Source organism: Homo sapiens, chromosome 12, assembly GCF_000001405.40.
Source record: "Homo sapiens chromosome 12, GRCh38.p14 Primary Assembly".
NCBI lineage: Eukaryota > Metazoa > Chordata > Mammalia > Primates > Hominidae > Homo > Homo sapiens.
Window position 1 is genome coordinate 116,664,001 of NC_000012.12, and position 20,696 is coordinate 116,684,696.

At 44.2% G+C, this 20,696-nt stretch overlaps 1 long non-coding RNA gene across 1 annotated transcript in view, besides 2 other annotated features; it reads left to right on the plus strand.

Moving 5' to 3' along the window:
• The window catches only part of LINC03088 (long intergenic non-protein coding RNA 3088), a 36,636-nt gene that overhangs the window by 2,457 nt on the left and 13,483 nt on the right, over positions 1–20,696 (plus strand). The window lies entirely within an intron of this gene.
• Positions 1,793–2,344: an enhancer, noted in NCBI's record as "H3K4me1 hESC enhancer chr12:117103598-117104149 (GRCh37/hg19 assembly coordinates)". NCBI's record gives its function as "activates a minimal SCP1, AML or CMV promoter by ChIP-STARR-seq in primed H9 embryonic stem cells {active_cell/tissue: H9 hESC(primed)}" and the evidence as "EXISTENCE:reporter gene assay evidence [ECO:0000049][PMID:30033119]".
• Positions 8,944–9,253: an enhancer, noted in NCBI's record as "active region_7097". NCBI's record gives its function as "activates an Ori minimal core promoter by ATAC-STARR-seq in GM12878 lymphoblastoid cells {active_cell/tissue: GM12878}" and the evidence as "EXISTENCE:reporter gene assay evidence [ECO:0000049][PMID:35858748]".

The window sequence follows — 20,696 nt, forward strand, 5'->3', positions numbered from 1 at the left end:
CCCGCCTCAGCCTCCCAAAGTGCTGGGATTACAGGCGTGAGCCACCGCACCCGGTCTCTATCAAGTTTATTTGTTTGTATCCACATGGAAAAGGTAAGCCCCCTTCTGCTCACAGGTACTATGTCTGCTTTGCTCACTGCTATATCCCCAGTGCCCAGAATGGTGTTTGTTGAATGAATGAATGAGCACATAGACAGGTCTACTGGTGGCTGTTGCATTGCAGGGATCTGTGAGAATGCACTGATGCGTACATCTGTGTCATTTTAATATGTCCACTTCTGTGCATGTCTGCATTACTAATGCATGTTTTTATGGATCGAGCATTCATTCTTAGAGATGACCTAAATATACATTCAATGCCGCCAGCTAAGAATTCTACCGAGGCTTCATGCATTGTTATTATATGTTATATGTTACAAATAAGGATACAAGGCATATATATTAAGCTTTCAAATCTTGGAAAATTAGTTCTGGAAGATGTTCTGAGAAGCAAATATTCCATGGTCAAATGAGTTTTGGAAATTCAGGATTAAAGAAAATGAAGTAAGTCTCTAAATATGGAATGTCTCAGAGACTTTAAATGCCAGAGTGTGCAGTGACTCTCTGAATATGGAAAGACTATACAGCTTTTTTTTTCTCTTTTCTTTTTTTTTTTTTTTTCTGCGCCTGGCCAGAATATACAGCATTTTTCAAACTCATTTGACTTTGGGACCCTTCTGGATCTCTCTTTTGGGGAGGATTTGGCAGTAAATGTAGGTAAATGCTGAACCACGACAATTTTGCTTGAAGTAAGAATTCATCTTGGCTGGGATTAGAAAGCTAGAGGCAGGTAGGGTTAAAGAACTTTTGACTGGGTGTGGTGGCTCATGCCTCTAATCCCAGCACTTTGGGAGGCCAAGGCAGGCTGATCACTTGAGGTCAGGAGTTTGAGACCAGCCTGACCAAGATGATAAAACCCCATCTCTACTAAAAATCCAAAAACTAGCTGGGTATGGTGGTGCACACCTGTAGTCCCAGCTACTCAGGAGGCTGAGGCAGGAGAATCGCTTGAACCTGGGAGGTGGAGGTTGCAGTGAGCCAAGATCATGCCCCTGCACTCCAGCCTAGGTGACGGCGGGAGATACTGTCTCCAAAAAAAAAAAAAAAAGTTTCTCCTTTTTCATTCACTCACTCATTCACCCAACACACATTGAGTTCCTACTCAGAGCCAGATCTTGTGAATGACACTGAAGAATATGAACATGAAGAAATGCGATGCCACCTCAACCTCACACAGTCCAGAAAAATCAGCCTATCAGGCCTCCCTGCTGCAAATGTCAGAAGCCCCATCAAACTGACAAGCCAGAATGTGGAAGTTATGGACAGAAACATCTGAGAAGACCATAGAATGAATGGGAAGGCGAAATACGAAATTATGATAAAAGCCCAAGGAACAGACAATGAGGGTTGGGGTGAACAGCGTAACCTGTGAAATAACTGGATTTGTCCATTCAGTCAGTACATGACCTTAGAATACTATCTTATTTCAGGCACTGTGGGGCGATGGGAGAAATAAATACAAGATATGGTTTGGACCCTGGAGGGGAGGTTATGTCTAGTGGATCCACTCAGAAACATCTTCTCAACAAGGCTAATCGACTTTGTCAGAAGCAAATACATCCCAGGATTGAAGGGACAAAAATGAAAATGGGTCTGTAAGACCTATGGTTCTTACAGAACTCAGAAAGGACACAGGAAAGACCAGCCAGCTCCTTTCCGTCCCGGCTGTCACAAGATCTACTGCCTTTGGGGGGGATGGGCAACTACGGAGTGACGGATTGAAACGCCGCACCTTGATTCTCTCATGATTACCGGAATAATTCCAGCCTAAGAGAGGAAGGAAATCGAACAAAACAAGAACAAGGGTGGGGTGGGAGCAACGGCTAAACAGAACAACAAATTATAAAATGCAGGATCCAGGCCCAAGCCGCACCATGCCAGGAGGGGGGAAAGAAACCAGCACAAGGAGCATGATGTGCCTGTTTGCAGAGATTCCGGAAAGATGAATGACCTCCCGAATGTGCTTTGGGAGCTGTGGCTCTCTAAAATGGCCTTCTGTGCCCCCTCAAATTCAACAGCAGCTGATGACAGTCGGAGCCATGAGCACAGGTCAGGGGCCCACAGGCTTGCAGAGGAAAGAGGTCTGAGTCAGTGGTGAGATTCGAGGTTGATATTTTATTAGTTTCTTCCTGGAATTTGTGGGTCTCCGAGTTGCAAACCCAAACCAAATGTTCCCTTTGAGCATTCCTGGCTGTGTAATTATCATTTGCGTTTGTGTAGGGATTGGAGGGAAAAGGATGGCTTAGAGTGTGTCTTTTCAAGCGCAGGCATTAGAAGGGTCTTCCAGGCAGCTGTGGCGGGGTAAACCGGGCCTGTGGAATACAACGTGCCATGAGAACACTCGGCCAGGCAGCAATCCACAAGGGCCACTTATACATGCGCATGACACAGGGAGACGCAGAGGTGGGGGATCAAGGGCCCGAATGGGGATCGCCAATTCCTCCATAAGGAAAGACAGGAGAGAAAATAGTTTGGTTTTGATTTTACTTTCAAGTGAGTTTCACACTGGGAAAACACTCCCAAAGATCCTGAACCAACCATGACTCCATTTCCCTCTCCTGAGTTTTTCAGGATGTCACCAGGTTCCCTATCAGACACGTCTGGTTTTTTGTTTTGTATTTTTGTGAGACGGAGTCTCACTCTGTCACCCAGGCTAGAGTTCAATGGCACAATCTTGGCTCATTGCAACCTTCACCTCTCAGGTTCAAGCTATTCTCCTGCTTCAGCCTCCTGAGTAGTTGGGATTACAGGCACGTGCCTCCACGCCCAGCTAATTTTTGTATTTTTAGTAGAGATGGGATTTCACTATGTTTGCCAGGCCAGTCTCGAACTCCTGGCCTCAAGTGATCCACCCGCCTTGGCCTCCCGAAGTGCTGGGATTATAGGTGTGAACCACCACGCCTGGCTGGACACATTCATCTTTAGACTCGTGCATGCTCCAGCCTGAGGGACGGTGCTAATGGTGAAATGCATTCATGATACTTGATATTCTGAAATGTGATTCATGACTGTTCCAACAGAACTTGCCCCTCCCAACCCCACTAAACCCCCATCTCCAGAGCTTTGTTTTAGAATTATTCCCATTTTACTGACAAGCTGAAGGTAGAAGGCAAGAGTCTGTAGTCAGCCAGGAACAGCTGACAACTTTAACACCCCAAATTTCAACTTCCATATTTCCTGTATCCCTCTAGGCCAGGAGTTGTCAAACTGTTGGCTGCAGGTCTACTGCCTGCAAGCTAAGAATGGTTTTTACATTTTACAGTGGTTGGAGGGGACCCAGCGTGGTGGCTCACACCTGTCATCCCAGCACTTTGGGAGGCCGAGGCAGGAGGATCACCTGAGGTCAGGAGTTTGAGGCCAGCCTGGCCAATATGGCAAAACCCTGTCTCTTTTAAAAATACAAAAATTAGCTGGGCATGGTGGCAGGTTCCTGTAATCCCAGCTACTCGAGAGGCTGAGGCACAAGAATCGGCTGAACCTGGGAGGTAGAGTCTGCAGTGAGCCGAGACCATGCCACTGCACTCCAGCCTGGGAGACAGTGAGACTCTGTCTCAATCAATCAATCAATAAAATGGTTGGAGTTGGAGGGGAGTCAAAAAAGAATAATACTTGATGACACATAAAAATTACATGGGCCAGGCTTGGTGGCCCACACCTGTAATCCCAGGAAGCTGAGGTGGGAGGATCGCTTGAGCCCGGGGATTCGAGACCAGCCTGGGCAATAGTGAGACCTTGTCACTCAAAAAATTAAAAAATTAGCCAGATGCAGTGACATGTGCCTATAGTCCCAGGTACTGAGGAGGCTGAGGCGAGAAGATGGCTTGGGCTCAGGAATTTGAGGCTGCAGTGAGCTATGATTGCGCCACTGCACTCCAGCATGGGTGACAGAGTTAAAGTTTAGCCTAAAGCTTCCCCCTTACATATTTTAAGTTCAGCCTAAAGGTTTCTCTGTACATCATGGACTATAATAAGTGGAGGAGGCCGGGTGCGGTGGCTCACGCCTGTAATCCCAGACCTTTGGGCAGCCGAGGTGGGCGGATCATTTGAGGTCAGGAGTTCGAGACCAGCCTGGCCAACATGGTGAAACCCCATCTCTACTAAAAATACAAAAATTAGCCAGGAGTGGTGGCAGGAACCTGTAATCCCAGCTACTCTACTCAGGAGGCTGAGGCAGGAGAGTCACTTGAACCCGAGAGGCGGAGGTTGCAGTGAGCCCAGATTGCGCCATTGCACTCCAGCCTGGGCGACAGAGCGAGACTCCGTCTCAACAAAAAAGTGAAGGTGTAAACTGACCGTAGCCTACACTTGTGCCAGTCACCAAGTTTTAGCCAATAAATGTAGCCAACTGTTTGAACTGTGTTCGAATAAGGCAAACGCCGAGCTGTAACCAGTCCGGCTGTGTCTGTACCTCACATCCATTTTCTGTACCTCGCTTTCCTTTTTCAGTCCACCAATCATCCACCACATGGCTGCGCTGGGGTCTCTGAGCGTACCTTGGCACAGGAGGCTGCCCAATTTCTGAATTGTTCATTGCTCAATTAAACTACTTTAAATTTAATCCAGCTGAAGTTTTTATTTTATCAAGAGCAAGACAATCTTGTCTCTAAATAATAAAATGAAATCAAAAGTAAAGTGTCTATGAATAAGGTTGTATTGGCCAATGGCCATGCCCACCTGTTTACAGATTGTCTATGGCTCATTTTGTGCCTTAGTGGCAGGGTTGAGTACAGTTGTCCCTCGGTATCCGTGGGGGATTGGTTCCAGGACCTCCCAGATTACTAAAATCCACAGATGCTCAAGTCCTTGATATAAAATGGTATAGTACTTGCATATACCCCTGTATACTTTAAATTTTCCCTGTATACTTTATATCATCTCTAGATACAATACCCAATACGATGTAAATGCAGTGTAAATAGTTGTTATGCTGTATTGTTATTTAATTTGTATTATTTTAGTTATTATTTTTATTGTTTTTGATATTTTTTATCTGCAATTGGTTGAATCCTTGGATTCGGAACCTGAGGATAGAGAGGGCTGGCTGTAGTTCCAACAGAGATCGTGTGTCCCGAAAAGCTGGAAATATTTACTATCTGCTCATTCCTAGGAAAAGTGTGTCAATCCTTGCTCTAGGCCACTGAGTACAGAGAAAGCAAAGGGATCCCCCTGGCTACCAAATAAAGTTGAAAGTCTTTAACACTGCACTTAAGAAATCTACAAATAGCCTCAACCCTCATTTTCAAGGTTATGCCTTCTCACTCACCTCATACCAAAGTCAATCTCAGAAATCCATCTACCATCAGTGTGAGCAGCGGCAAATCCATACAGGCCTGCAGCAACTTGATTCTTACCTCCTCAGAGGAAAGAATTCAGCTGAGGGCATAAGGCAGAGTGAAAGTCCAAGGCAAGTTTTAGAGCAGGAGTAAAAGTTTATTAAAACATTTGAGAGCAGGAACAAAAGGAAGTACACTTGGAAGAGGAGGACCAAGTGGGTGACTTGAGAGACCCAAGTGTGTTGTCCAACCCTTGACCTGGGGTTTTATACATTGGCTTGGTTCCGGGGTCTGCATTTCTTCTTCCTAACTCTTCCTTGGGGTGGGCTGTCCATATGAGCGGGGACCTGTGCATTCAGGAGGGTCCGCATGCACAGTGTGTTTACTGAAGTTGTGTGCATGCTCATGTGAGGCGTTCTTCCCTTACCATTCGAGCAATGCTAGAAGAAGGTCATAGATCAGTTAAACCCCAGCCATTTTGCCTCTTAATGCACATGCTGGAGCTCACTCGCCCAACTGCTGAGATCTTATCCAGAAGCAGTTATCACCAGCCTCAGGTGTTTTCTATCTATTGGGAGCCTGCCTTTCTGGCACCAGCTGTGACCAATTTTTATTTTATTTATTTAGTTATTTATTTATTGAGGCAAGATTTCTCACTCTGTCACCCAGGCTGGAGTGCAGTGGTGCATGATCTCGGCTCACTACAACCTCTGCCTCCCAGGTTCAAGCGATTCTCCTGCCTCAGCCTCCTGAGTAGCTGGGATTACAGGTGCCCACCACCATGCCCCACTGATTTTTGTATTTTTAGTAGAGATGAGGTTTCACCATGTTGGCCAGGCTGGTCTCGAACTCCTGACCTCAAGTGATCCACATGTCTCCACCTCCCAAAGTGCTGGGATTACAAGTGTGAGCCACCACACCTGGCCCAATTAGTATTTTAGAGAGAGAGTTTAACAACCACCTGACTATCACCTGATGGTCACTTGACATTCCTGTGGGTCGGGGTGGGGGCCCTTTCCTGCCCTGCTCATGTCTGCCTAGCTCCCTACTCTAACGTCAGTTCTTCCCCTACAGACTGCACTTCCCTGTGCTTAAAAAAAAAAAATTATTTAGGTGGAGCCAGGCGCAGTGGCTCACGCTTCTAATCCCAGCACTTCGGGACCCGAGGCAGGCTGCAGCTCAGGACCAGCCTGGCCAACATGGCAAAACCCTGTCTCTACTAAAAATACAAAAATTAGCCAAGCGTAATGGTACATGCCTGTAATCCCAGCTACTCAGGAGGCTGAGGCAGGAGAATTGCTTGAACCCGGAAGGCAGAGGTCACAGTGAGCTGAGATTGCACCACTGCACTCCAACCCAGGTGATGGAGTGAGACGCTGTCTCAAAAAAAAAAAATTATATATATATATATATATATTTAAGTGAAATTCACATAATAAAAAATCATATTAAAGGGTAGAATTCAGTGGGTTTTAGTATATTCACAATGTTGTACAAACCCCACTTCTACATAGTTCCAAAACATTTCAATGACTCCAGAGTAAAATTTCTCAACCTATTAGGCAGTTTCTCCAGTTTCTCCCCTGGCACCCAGGCCCTGGCAACCACAAATCTACTTTTTGTCTCTATGAATTTGCCTATTCTAGACATTTCCTCTAATGCTGTCATACAGTAGGTCACCTTTTATGCCTGACTTCCTTCACTTAGTATAATGTTTTCAAAGTTCATCCATGTTGTAGTATGGGTCAGTACTTGGTTCCTTTTTATAGCCATATAATATTCCATTGTATGAATAGCCCACAATTTGTTCAGCCATTCCTCCATCAATAGACATTCAGGCTGTTTTCACCTTTTGGCTACTGTAAGTAGTGCTGCTATGAACATTTGTGTTCAAGTATCTCTTTAAATACCCCTGTTTTCAGTTATTTGGGGTATATATCTAGGGGTGGATACGCTATATCACATGATAATTTTATGTTTAACTTTTTGAGGAACTGCCCAAAATGGCACAATGGCTGCACTGTATTTTTTCCAGAATGGCTGCTCTGTATTTATATTTGCACCAGCAACACATGAGGATTCCAGTTTCTCCACATCATCGTCAACACTTGTTATTTTCCTCTTTTGTTTCCCTGGTTATAGCCATCCTCCCGGGTGCAGTGGCTTGTCGCTGCTTTTGCCGCTGTGGTTCCTTCTGCCCATGTGCTCCTCCTCATCCCTTCATCTCTCAATAGTGCCGTCTCTCCAGGCTCAACTCAGAGCATGCACGTTGGGGGTTTCTACCCCCAATCTCATATCCCAGAGCACGTGTCTCCCCATGTGTGTTCCCAACTTCCTGAGCTTGTGCTTTTTTTTTGGTGAGGGAAGACATGGTCTCACTCTATCACCCAGGCTGGAGTGCAGTGGCATGATCTCGGCTCACTGCAACCTCTGCCTCCTGGGTTCAAGCGATTCTCCTGCCTCAGCCTCCTGAGTAGCCGGGATTACTGATGCATGCCACCAACCATGCCCAGCTCACTTTTTTTGTATTTTTAGTAGAGACAGGGTTTTCACCATGTTGGCCAGGCTGGTCTCATTGAACTCCTGACCTCAAATGATCTGCCTGCCTCGCCTCCCAAAGTGCTGGGATTACAGGCATGAGCCACTGCGCCCAGCCGAGCTTGTGCTTTAGAGAGGGGGAGAGAGAGAGAGAAAGAGAAAGAGAGCGAGATTGGATGGGTGGATAGATAGATAGATAATAGATTGATAAGACTTGATAGATTGATAGATGATAGATAAGATGATTGATAGAAGATAGATACGATGGATAGATGATTGATAGATGATAGATAAGATAGATGATTGATAGATAAGATAGATTGATGAAAGATAAGATAAATAGACTGATAGATGATCGGTAAAATACATAGATTGATTGATTTCGGGAGTACAGGTGCAGTTTTGTTATATGGATATATTGCATACTGGTGAAGTCTGGGGTTTAGTGTAGCCATCACCCGAATAGTGTACATTGTACCCATTAAGTAACTTTTCATCCCTCTCCCTCCCCCTCCCCACCCTTCTGAGTCTCCAATGTCTATTATTCCACTCTCTATGTGCATGTGTTCATATTATTTAGCTCCCACTTATAAGTGAGAACATGCAGTATTTGACTTTGTGTCTGTTATTTCACTTAAAGATAACTGCCTCTAGTTCCATTCACGTTGCTGCAAAGGACATGATTTCATTCTTTTACATGGCTGAGTAGTCTTCGTGTGTGTGTGTGTGTGTGTGTGTGTGTGTGTGTGTGTGAGAGATATTTATCCATTCATGTGTTCTGGATACTTAGCCTCTTTATCTTTGCTATTGTGAATAGTGCTGCGATATGGGTGCAGGTATCTTTTTGATACAATGATTTCTTTTCCTTCGGGTATATACACCAGTTTTGGGGTTGCTGGATCGAATAGTAGGACTATTTTTAGTTCTTTTGAGAAATCTCCCTACTGTTTTCCATAGAGGTTGTACTAATTTACCTTCCACCAGCAGTGTAGAAGTGTTCCCTTTTCTCCACATCCTCGCCAACATCTGTGATTTTTTTGCCTGTTTAATGATGGTCATCCTGACTAGAGTGAGATAGTATCTCACTGTGGTTTCAGTTTGCGTTTCTCTGATGATTAGCGATGTTGAGCATTTTTCACATGTTTCTTGGTAATTTGTGTGTCTCCTTTAACAAGATGTCTGTTCATGTCCTTTGTCCACCTTTTAATGGGGTTATTTGCCCTTTGTTGTTGTTGAGTTGTTCGAGTTCTTTGTAGATTCTGGATATCAGTCCTTTGTCAGATGCACAGTTTGCAAATATGTTCTCCCATTCTGCAGCTTGTCTGTTCACTCTGTTGATTATCACTTTTGCTGTGCAGAAGCTTTTTTAGTGAACTTTTGCTTTTACTGTAACACATGCCACATCCTGTCTTACATGACAGTTGGGTCCCTTGTTCTCATCTCCAGTAACTTTGCTTCCCCTCACTTCAGTGTCCAAGGGCCTGCCTTTCCTGCCAGGCTGTGAGGACCAGGAGCCCACAGCCGTGCCTGCATGCCTGTTTCAAGCTTGCTGTATACCCAACGCACAGCACAACAAATGCCTGTATTTTCTTTTTTTTTCTTTCTTTCTTTTTTTTTTTTTTTTTTTTGAGACAGAGTCTCACTTCGTCGCCCAGGCTGGAGTGCAATGGCGTGACCTCAGCTCAATGCAGCCTCCAAAAAAACAAACGAAAATATTTATAGCTACTTTTAATTACATGTAGATTAAGGGGCAGTTTATGCAGAAATTTCAAGGAAAGGGTGGTAGCATTTGGGTCCTCGGTCTTTGCCACGGAAAGGAGCAGTAACTCCCAGTGTTGCCATGGCAATGGTAAACTGTCAGCGCTCACAGGTGGGCGTGTCTTATGGAGAGGTGCTACTGCCCCATCCCTGTTTTAGCTAGTCCTCAATGTGGTCCAGTGTCCAAGCCCCACCCCTGGAGTTAAGTCCCGTCTCCTGCTTCACTGGTTCTAGGGAGCTCTGGGATAACCTGAGATCTCCCTTGTATCCGCCCAATATTGCCCTTACGTCCTTATGGATGTTGTTTCCAAGAACACACACCCATAAACCTGCACACAAATCTCTGCCTCAGAATCTATTTCCCAAGGGCGCCACCTAGGAAAGAAGGCATAACAAAGTTTGGGGGAAAATATTGTCTTGTCTTCTCCAGTAACCACAGACCAGCAGGCCCGTACATCTCAGCTTCTTCTTAACCTGGGTAACATCAATGCCTGTTCTGTTCCAGATAGGTTCTCATTCTGTTGATTAGATTTAATAGGGAGAATTGGGGGGCCTTCTGGTTTTCTGGCCAGCTTTTCCTATTGATGCCTTCCAAAGTCATTCAACTTCCTGCCTTGAGATGTATCAGTGACTTCCCACTGCTCTGGGGAAAGGCTGCATATGGCCCGGCTTTCTCTGTGTCCTCACCTTATCCACACATGCTTCCTGAGCTACATCTGAAGCTTGTCAATTGCTCATTTCCTCCACCACAGGGCCTTTGTATATGCTGTTTATGGTGCCCACACCCCACCGACCCCACCCCTTATTCACTGAATTAACTCTTGTTTATTCTTCAGATATTAATTCCGTTGTCTTTTCCTTGAGGCGACCTTTTCCCAGAGGCACAACTGCATAGTGTCCAGGGTCTATGATACCTTTAGGGGCCCAGAAAAAAAGGCTTAATTTCTTTTAAAATCAGAAGAGGGAGACAGTGACTATATTATGATGAATCCAACCTGGATTTATACCAACAAAGTTGCAAAATGTAATTTTTTTTAATGAGAAAAAGCCCCCGCCCACCCCCCTACAGGGCAAAAGTCCCTCAGACCTTTTCTGGCCTCCCCCTAACCCACCAGCACTGCTAGGTCAGGTCTTCCCTAAGTAAGATGCTTTCACTCTGCCCTGAACTCTTCTGCCTAGGCAGGTACCACGGTTGTAACTTGACATTTGGCCCCTAAACCACTAGCTGGATGAAGGCAGGGACCATGTCAGACTTATTCTCTGTGCAACACCGAGTCTACACAGCACTTGGCTCTTATTATATGCTCAATAAACATTTGCTGCAAGTATGACTAAGCGAAAATGATCAGACTTCACAATCATCCCACAAGAACACTCATTCCATCTATTATTTTTTTGTTTCTTTTAGAGGCAGGGTCTTATTCTGTTGATTCTGTTGCCCAGGATGGAGTGCAGTGGCACCATCTAGTTCACTGCAGCCTTGACCTCCTTGGATTACACGATCCTCCTGCCTCAGCCTCCCAAGTAGCTGGGACTACAGGCTCACCCCACTGCACCCAGCAAATTTTTAATTTTTTTTTTTGTAGAGATGAGGTCTTACCATGTTTCCCAGGCTGATCTCAAACTCCTTGGTTTCAGGCAGTCCTCCTGCCTCAGCCTCCCAAGGCCTTGGGATTACAGGCGTGAGCCACTGCACCCGGCCCACACTCCATCTACTTCTAACTCCCTGCCTCTCCTGCAGGCCAGAGGGGAGGGGAGGGGAAAAGCCTGCAAGACGGAAACCAGGAGGAAAGACTCACAATGGACGTGAGAGAATTGGTGGTACTCAACCTTTCTCCCTGATAGGGGAGTCAGGCCGGGGGAGGTGGGTGGCGGCAGAGATTTAGCGTAAACAAACATTTCCTTGTCTGGTAGGTCATTTTGTAATTATATGCAGGTCAAGCTCTTTAGAGCTCCCGGAAATCAGACAATATCTGCCTGCAGAGAGGCCAGTCCTGCTCCAGGGCCCCCAGCGTGGAGGGGACTTTCATCAGAAGATCTTTCCCTATCCAGGCAGGAATCTAAGTGACCGTCCGGTGTGAAACAACGAAGCCAGCAAAAAGCAATAGGAAGGAGAGCCGACCTCAGAGTTCAGAAGATAAGCGGGGGAACAAAATGAATACGTGAACTTGGGGAAAACGGGCTGAGCCTGAAGCCCTGGGCAAGGTTCTCTGGGGAAAAGGGGATGACATTGACCTTGGCCTTCATGCTCTCGGGAGGGACGCTGGCAAGAGTGATGGAGAGAGGCACCTTTGTACATAGGACATTCCAAGCCACCACTTGGTACTCTCCATGGATGGCAAATGTGTCAACTTTGAGAGAGGATAACAGACCATTAAGAGAAAGCAAAGGAGGCTGTTGCCAGAGGTGGAAATTGGTTCTTGCCAACTAACTGCCCTCCTTCAATTTCACTCGGTCAAGGCAGTGGGGATTTTTCAAATCATCCTCATGGCTGTGGTTCCAGCACCACCCTGGGAGGGATGGGGTTGCAGGGTAAAGACTATAAAGAAGAGGGCTGGGTGCAGTGGCTCATGCCTGTAATCCCAGCACTTTGGAAAGCTAAGGTAGGCAGATCACTTGAGGTCAGGAGTTCAAGACCAGCCTGGTCAACATGGTGAAACCCCATCTCTATTAAAAATACAAAAATTAGCTGTACGTGGTGGTGTGTGCTTGTAATACCAGCTACTCGGGAGGCTAAGGCAGGAGAATTGCTGGAACCCAAGAGGCAGAGGTTGCAGTGAGCCAAGATCGTGCCACTGCACTCCAGCCTGGGCAACAGAGCAAGACCCCATCCACCCCCTTCCCTCCCAAAAAAAAGGCTCATGCCTATAGTCCCAGCTATTCAGGAGGCTGAGACAGAAGGATTGCTTGAGGCCACCAGTTCAAGGCTGCAGTGAGTTATGATTGCACCACTGCATTACAGCTGAGGCAACAGAGCGAGACTTGACTCAAAAGAAAAAAAAATTGATGGAATTTTGGCCGTATGCAGTGGCTCACGCCTGTAATCCCAATACTTTGGGAGGCTGAGGCAGGCGGATCACCTGAGGTCAGGAGTTTGAGACCAGCTGGACAACAGAGCATGACCCCATCTCAAAAAAAAAAACCCAAAAAACAAAACAACAACAACAACCAAAAAAAACCACAGAAGAGGCTTGACTGACAGCCAAGGAGAAAACTTAACGACACACACACACACAAAACCCCGAACTGGTAGCAAACAGGATGGACTGGTGGCTGCATGCCAAAGTCCTTTGGGTTCACATTTGACTTCAGCTTAGAGGGACAGTAGCCAGCGTTTCCCTTTGTCGGAACTAGGCAGATTATGGGAAGAGGCTCTGGCACTCTTAAAATTCCCCTGCCCTCACAGACCTAAAATTAACATCACTGTTTATAGTGCTGGCTGTGGATGTAGAATATCATATTACAGTAGTAAATGATACGATAAAGATATAGTAATCCAATATTGGAAATCTGAACTGACTATGACTACCAATTGCTTATGCATTTAACAGGTCATAATTATTAGCACTTACATCACTGTCCTTTGTGTTCAAGGATGACACCAACGGATACTGTCTCTACATGTGGCCAAGATCACGAAAGCATGAGAACTGTGTAATCTTTCTCTTTAAACAGCATTTTGAGATATAATTCATATACCATGCAATGCATGCTATTCAAGGGCTTTTGGAGTATTCACAGAGCTGTGCAACCATCACCACAATCTAATTTTAGAGCAGCTTTTTCTCCTCTAAAAGAACCCCCCCTCCCAAAAAAAAAAAAACCCCAAAAACCCCATACCAATAGCAGTTAGTCCCAAGTTCCCCTTTCTTCCACCCCCTGGTAACCATTTTCTGCCTCTGTGCCTTTGCCTAGTCTGTGTATTTCATATAAATAGTCATGCAATATGTGGTCTTTGGCAATGGCTTCTTTCGCTTAGCGTAATGTTTTCAGGGCTCATCCACGCTGTAGCATGAATCAGTACCATATACTTTATTCATTTTCTTTATTTTTTTCTCTTTTTGACTTTTATTTTAGAATCAGGGGTACACGTGCAGGTTTGTTACAAAGGTATATGACGTGATACTGAGGTTGGAAGTATGAATGGATCCCTCACCCCCAGTAGTGAGCATAGTATCCAATAGGTAGGTTGTTTTCAACCTTACTCCCTTCCCATCCTCCCTCCTCTTGTATTCCCCAGTGTCTGTCATTCCCGTTTTTATGACTATGTGTACCCAAAGCTTAGCTCCCCCTTACAAGTGAGAACATGCAGTATTTGATTTTCTGTTTCTGTGTTAGTTTGCTTAGAAGAATGGTTTCTAGCTGCATCCATGTTGCTGTAAAAGACATGATTTTTTTCCTTTTATGGCTGTGTAGTGTTCCATGGTGCCTATGTACCACATTTTCTTTATCCAGCCCACCATTGATGGGCACCTGGGTTGATTCCATGTCTTTGCTATTGCTACTTTTTTTATTGCCAACTATTATTCCATTGTATGGATATGCCATGTTTTGTTTATCCATTCACTGGCTTGACTTTTCTTTTTCTTTCTTTCTTTCTTTCCTTTTTCTTTCCATACATATAAGACGTACATATTTTGAGGGTACCTGTGATAATTTGATACAACCATATAATCAAATCAGGGTAATTGGGATGTCCATCACCTTAAATAATTATCTCTTTTTATTATTATTATTTTTAAGACAGAGTCTTACTCTGTTGCCCAGGCTGGAGTGCAGTGGCACAATCTCGGTTCACTGCAACCTCCACCTCCCGGATTCAAGCAATTCTCGTGCCTCAGCCTTCTAAGTAGCTGGGATTACAGGTGCCCACCATCAGGCCTGACTCATTTTTGTATTTTTAGTAGAGATGGGGGTTTCACCATGTTGGCCAGGCTGGTCTCAAACTCCTGAGCTTAAGTGATCTGCCCACCTCGGCCTCCCAAAGTGCTGGGATTACAGGCATGAGCCACTGCACCCAGTCTATTTATCTTTTCTTTATACTAGGAACCTTTGAATTATTCTCTTCTAGCTATTTTGAAATGTGCAATTGATTTATTTGACTATAGTCACCCTACTACTATATTGAACGCCAGATCTTATTTCTTCTAAGTATATCTTTGTACTCATTAATCAACCTCTCTTCGTTCCCCTTCTTCTTACTTTAACTTTCTAAAGAAATGCCAGATTGTTTGCCAAAGGGGATACACTATTTTATGTGCTCACCAGCAATGTTGAAGGGTTCAGTTTCTCCACATCCTTGCCAACACTTGTTCTAGTCTATCTTTTTTATTACAGCCATCCCAGTGTGTGTGAAGTGGTCTCATTGTGGATTTCATTTGCATTTCCCTAATGGTGAATGATGAACATATCTTCATGTGCTTATTGCCTTTTGTAGATCTTCTTTGGAGATATGTCTATTCAAATCTTTTGCTAATTTTGTAATTGGGTTGTCTTTCAATTATTGAGTTGTAAATGTTCTTTATTTATTCTGGATACAATTCCTGGATCAGATATATGACTCATGATTTTCTTTTTCTTTTCTTTTCTTTTTTTTTTCTGAGACAGGGTCTCACTCTGTCACCCAGGCTGGAAGTGCAGTGGCACAGTCTTGGCTCGGCTCACTGCAGCCTCAACCTCCTGGGCTCAAGTGGTCCTCCCACCTCTGCCCCTCAAGGAGCTGGGACTACAGGTGTGTGCCACCACACCCAGCTAATTTTTTTTGTATTTTTTGTAGGGATGAGGTTTCACTATGTTGCCCAGGCTGGTCTTGAACTCCTGAGCTCAGGCAATCCACCCACCTTGGCCTCCCAAAGTGCTGGGATTACAGGCATGAGGCACCACACCCGGCTGATTCACAAACACTTTCTTCCATTCTGTGAGTTATCTTTCACTTTCTTGATGGTGTCATTTGCAACACAAAGGTTTCTTATTTTTAAGTCATCCAATTTATGTTTTATTATCTGACTTGTGTTTTTGGTGTTGTATCTAAGAATTCATTGCCTAATTCAAGGTCATGAAGATTTACTCCTGTGTTGTTTTTTGTTACTTTATTTTTTTAGAGACAGGGTCTGGTTCATAGCTCACTGCAGCCTCAAGCTCCTGGGCTCAAGTGATCCTCTTGCCTCAACCTCCCAAGTAGCCGGAACTACAGACACACACCACCTTGCCCACTAATTTTAAAAAATTGTTTTTCTGTAGAGACAGGGTCAGCTATGTTGCCCAGGCTAGTCTCAAACTCCTAGCCTCAAGTGATCCTTCTGCCACGACCTCCCAAAGCACTGGGATTACAGACGTGAGCCACCACCCCCAGCCTCCTGTTTTCTTCTAAGTGTTTTTTTGATTTTTACAGTTTTAGTTCTTACATTTAGGTATTTTATTTGTTTCTGTGTATGGTCTGAGGTAGGAATCCAAATTCATTCTTTACATGTGGCTATCCAGTTGTCCCAGTACAGTTTGTTGAAAACACTATTTTCCCCCATTGGATTGTCTTCCCAGCCTTGTCAAACAAAGCAATTAACATCATATGGTAGTTCTAGTTTTAATGTTTGGAGGAACCTCCATAGTGTTTTCCATAGTGGCCACAGCAATTTATATTTCCACCTACAGTGTACAAGAGTTCCCTTTTCTCCACATCCTCATCAATTCTTATTTATTTATTTATTTATTTATTTTAGTAATAGCCATTCTAACAGGCATAAAGTGATATTCCACTTCTGGGTATACATCCAAAGGAACTGAAATCAGGATACTGAAGAGATATCTGCACTCTCATGCATGCTGCAGTATTATTCACAATGGCCAAGACATAGAAGCAACATAAGTGTCCATCCATAGATGAACGGGTAAAGATAATGTGGTATAGACATATAATGGATTGTTATTCTGCCTTGAAAAAGAGGGAAATCCTGCCATTTGCAACAAGATGGATGAACACAGAGGACATAATGCTAAATGAAATGAACCAGGCACAGAAGACCAAGTACTACATTATCTCTCTTATACAAGCAACCTAAAATAGTCAAACTCATTTTGATAATCATTGCCAGGAGCTAGAGGGAGGAAGGAGAATGGGGAGATGTTGGTCCAAAGGTAGAGTTTCAGTTATCCAAGATGAATAAGTCGTAGAGACCTACTGTACAGCGTGGTGCCTATAGTTTATAATATTACATTTTATACTTAAACATTTGCTAAGATCTTATGTTTAGTGTTCTTACCACCAAATAATAATAATATTATAGAGGGCTGGAGGAAACTTTTGGAGGTGACAAATATGTTTATAGCACTGATTGTGGTGGTGGTTTCACAGGTGTACACTTATTTCCAAACTCATCAAGTTGCATACATTAAATATATACATTTTTTGTATGCCAGCCATACCTCAATAAATTGGTTTTTAAAAAATAAATGGACAAGCTGGATTCAGTGACTCATGCCTGTAATCTCAGCACTTTGGGAGGCCAAGGCAGGAGGATCATTTGAGTCCAGGAGTTCGAGACCAGCCTGGGCAACATAGTGAGACCCCGTCTCTACAAAAAATTTTAAAAATTAGCCAAGCATGATGGCGTACACCTGTAATTCCAGCTACTTGGGAGGCTGGGAAGATCGCTTGAGTCTGGGAGTTTGAGGCTGCAGTGAGCCACGATTGTGCCACTGTACTCCAACCTGTGTGGCAGAGGGAGATCCTGTCTCAAAAAAAAAAAAATCAATTGACATGATTTAATAGCTTCTAGACTGCAAACTCTGCATATCTTAACAGTATGTGATACAGTTCATGCTCTACACTTTGTGTTACCTTTTCCTAAAAGGCAGCTTTGCATGGAGAGATCACGGCAGCCTGTGAGTTGGAATGGTGGAATTTGTGATGATGCAATACTTTATTTGAAAAAGTAAAATTGCTTAGCTAGGCAATACCTTTGATGTGATAACTTTGCAATGCATGTTAATTTGCATGTATGCCATTTATTTATTTATTTATTTATTTATTTATTTATTTATTGTTGAGACGGAGTCTCACTCTGCACCCAGGCTGGAGTGCAGTGGCGCCATCTCAGCTCACTGCAGCCTCCGCCTCCCTGGTTCAAGCGATTCTCCTGCCTCAGCCTCCCGAGTAGCTGGGACTACAGGTGCACGCCACCACACCCAGCTAATGTTTGTATTTTTAGTAGAGATGGGGTTTCACCATGTTGGCTAGACTGGTCTCCAACTCCTGATTTCAGGTGATCCTCCTGCCTTGGCTCCCCAAAGTGTTGGAATTACAGGTGTGAGCCACCGCCCCCGGTCTGTATGACCTTTTATAAGATGGTCCACACGCAGAGACTGCAAACTAGGGGCTCTGGGGCCCAATTCACCCCCACAGGCATGCTGTGTTGGGCCAATATATTTTAAAATTATTTTATCCAACATTTAAAAAATTATAAACAAAAATCTTGATTTCTTCTTTCTCTTGCAAGTGTAGGAGCTCTAGTTCCATGAGTAGTTGCCCTCTGAGGTGGAGCAATCACTCTCTCCCTGGTTCTGAAGCCAGGCTCAGCTGTCATTCACCATTCACATCGTTTTACTAATGGTGGAGAAGCATATTTTGCAGCTAGGCCTCCACCAAATGTGAGAACATCTAGTTGAGCAAGCCTCCAGACAAATGGAGAAGGTATATTTGTTGTAAAGAAAAGGAATATTTTGGCCGGGCGCAGTGGCTCACGCCTGTAATCCCAGGATGTTGGGAGGCCGAGGCGGGCGGGATTTGGAGATAGTGATGAACAATATTACTTTTTATAAGAACTCATTCAGAAAAAAAAAATGTTTAGAAGCTGTCTTTTCTCATTAAAAATTTAAAAAGAAAAAAAAAACCCTCTGTGTCCCACAAGGAGATAAATTGTAATTCTTACAACTTAATTACTTTACTGACCAGAAGATATTTCAAAAGTTTGTTCTGCTTTAAAGCCACTAAAACGTTAATGGCCGCACACAACTGAGACGTGTTCATAGGAGCAAAGGGACAGCCAGTTGTTCAAACTTTCCAACTGCAGAGCTCGCTGGGGTTCACCAAGTGCCAACACATCCATTATTCTCTGTATTCTAGAAACTTCTTAAAACAGTCCCCACAGGTAGGTATGATGATGGAGAAAGCGTGGCTTAGATGTGTGAAGGTCCCAAAGCCACCTGTATCAAGTCAGTGGCAGGGTTGGGAAGAATGATTTCATTGCATACAATGCAACAATTACCAAGTAACTATGATTCTGGTTCTGCAAGAAGCACTGGGAAGATAGAGGGAAATACAATGTACCAATCTCTCCTTAGAGGGTCTCTGTGCTTGGCTTAGAAAGGACTGGCCCTGTTGTGCACCATGTCTCCAGTAGAACCAGCCCAGAAGGGTTTGCTGTCTGGGTTCTGGTAGCTTCTGCAGGTGGAGGCCCCAGCTTGCTGTGACACTGGCTCTCCCTTCGAGATTCCCCGCCCCCCACCCCCGAGTCAGGTGAAGCCAGGTACAAGGGAATCTAAAGAGGCTCCCCTCAAAGCCAAAAAATTAAGCCAGGCCCCTATACCACTCCTTTCACCAAAATAAATTTCAAATGCTTAGAGTTCAATTTAAAAATGAAAGCCATAAAAAGGCTGAGAAGAAAAAAAAATGGGTCATTAAAAATATATATAATCGTGGAGAGGCAAAGGCAAACATGAACCCAAAACCCATAAAGAAAAAATTAATATTTCCAACTACATAAAAATGAAAGTCCTCTATATGGTGAAAAAAATTACAAAGACAAACTGTAAATGGGAAAAATCTTTGTAATGCATTTCTTTAGTGTCCAAAGAGCTCTTATATATCTCTGTGAATAAGACAAAGCCGAAACATGAAATGTACAAAGGACACAAAAAAGCAGTTCATAAAAGAAATATAAATGGCCAATAAACCCATGAAATAATGTGCTCATAATGCATGGGAATTTAATTGAGCTAATTTTTCAGCAGTCAGGTTGGCAAAGATGAAACAGGTTGATGAGGCCCGGGGAGGGGAAAATTGGGGATGAACACTTTTCATGCATTCTTGGGGGAGTGTAAATTGGTGCTGTTGTTTGGAATGCAATTTAGCAATATCTACCAAAATTCAAAGTATGTGTACCCCATGACCAGCCAGTCCACTTCTAGGAGTTCGTTCTACAGATAAACGTTTGCTCAAGCACTCCAAGACGTACATACAAGGATGTTTTGACAGCAGCTCTATTTGTAGGAGGGCACACACAGCCTGAATATCCATCGGTAAGCAAATGATGAAGTAACTAACATGAAATTTCTGCCATGTAAAAGAATGAAGGGCCAGGTATGGTGGCTCACGCCTGCAGTCCCAGCACTTTGGGAGGCCGAGGTGTGTGGATCACGAGGTCAGGAGATCGAGATCATCCTGGCCAACATGGTGAACCCCCGTCTCTACTAAAAATACAAAAATTAGCTGGGCGTGGTGGTGCACTCCTGTAGTCCCAGCTACTTGGGAGGCTGAGGCAGGAGAATTGCTTGAACCCGGGAGGTGGAGGTTGCAGTGAGCCGTGATCACACCACTGCACTCCAGCCTGGCAACAGAATGAGACTCTGTCAAAAAGAAAAAAAAGAATGAAGAAGGCTATATGTACTGATATGGAAAGATCTCCAAGAAATACTGATATGCAAAAAAAACAGACTAGTCCTGATTAGTCCATCTAAGAAGAGAGGTACATTGTATTTCTCTCCGTCTTCCCAGTGCTTTTTGCAGACCCAGAAACATGGTAGTTGCTTGGTAATTGTTTCATTGTGTGCAATGAACTCTTCTTCCCAACCCTGCCACTGACTTGATACGGGTGGCTTTGGGACCTTCAGCACATCTGAGCCATGCTTTCCCCATCATCATCCCTACCTCTAGGAGCTATTTTAAGAAGTTTCTAGAATAAAGAGAATAATGGAAGTGTTTGCACTTGGTGAACCCCAGCAAGCTCTGCTGGACTGAGCATCCCTTCCTTTGCC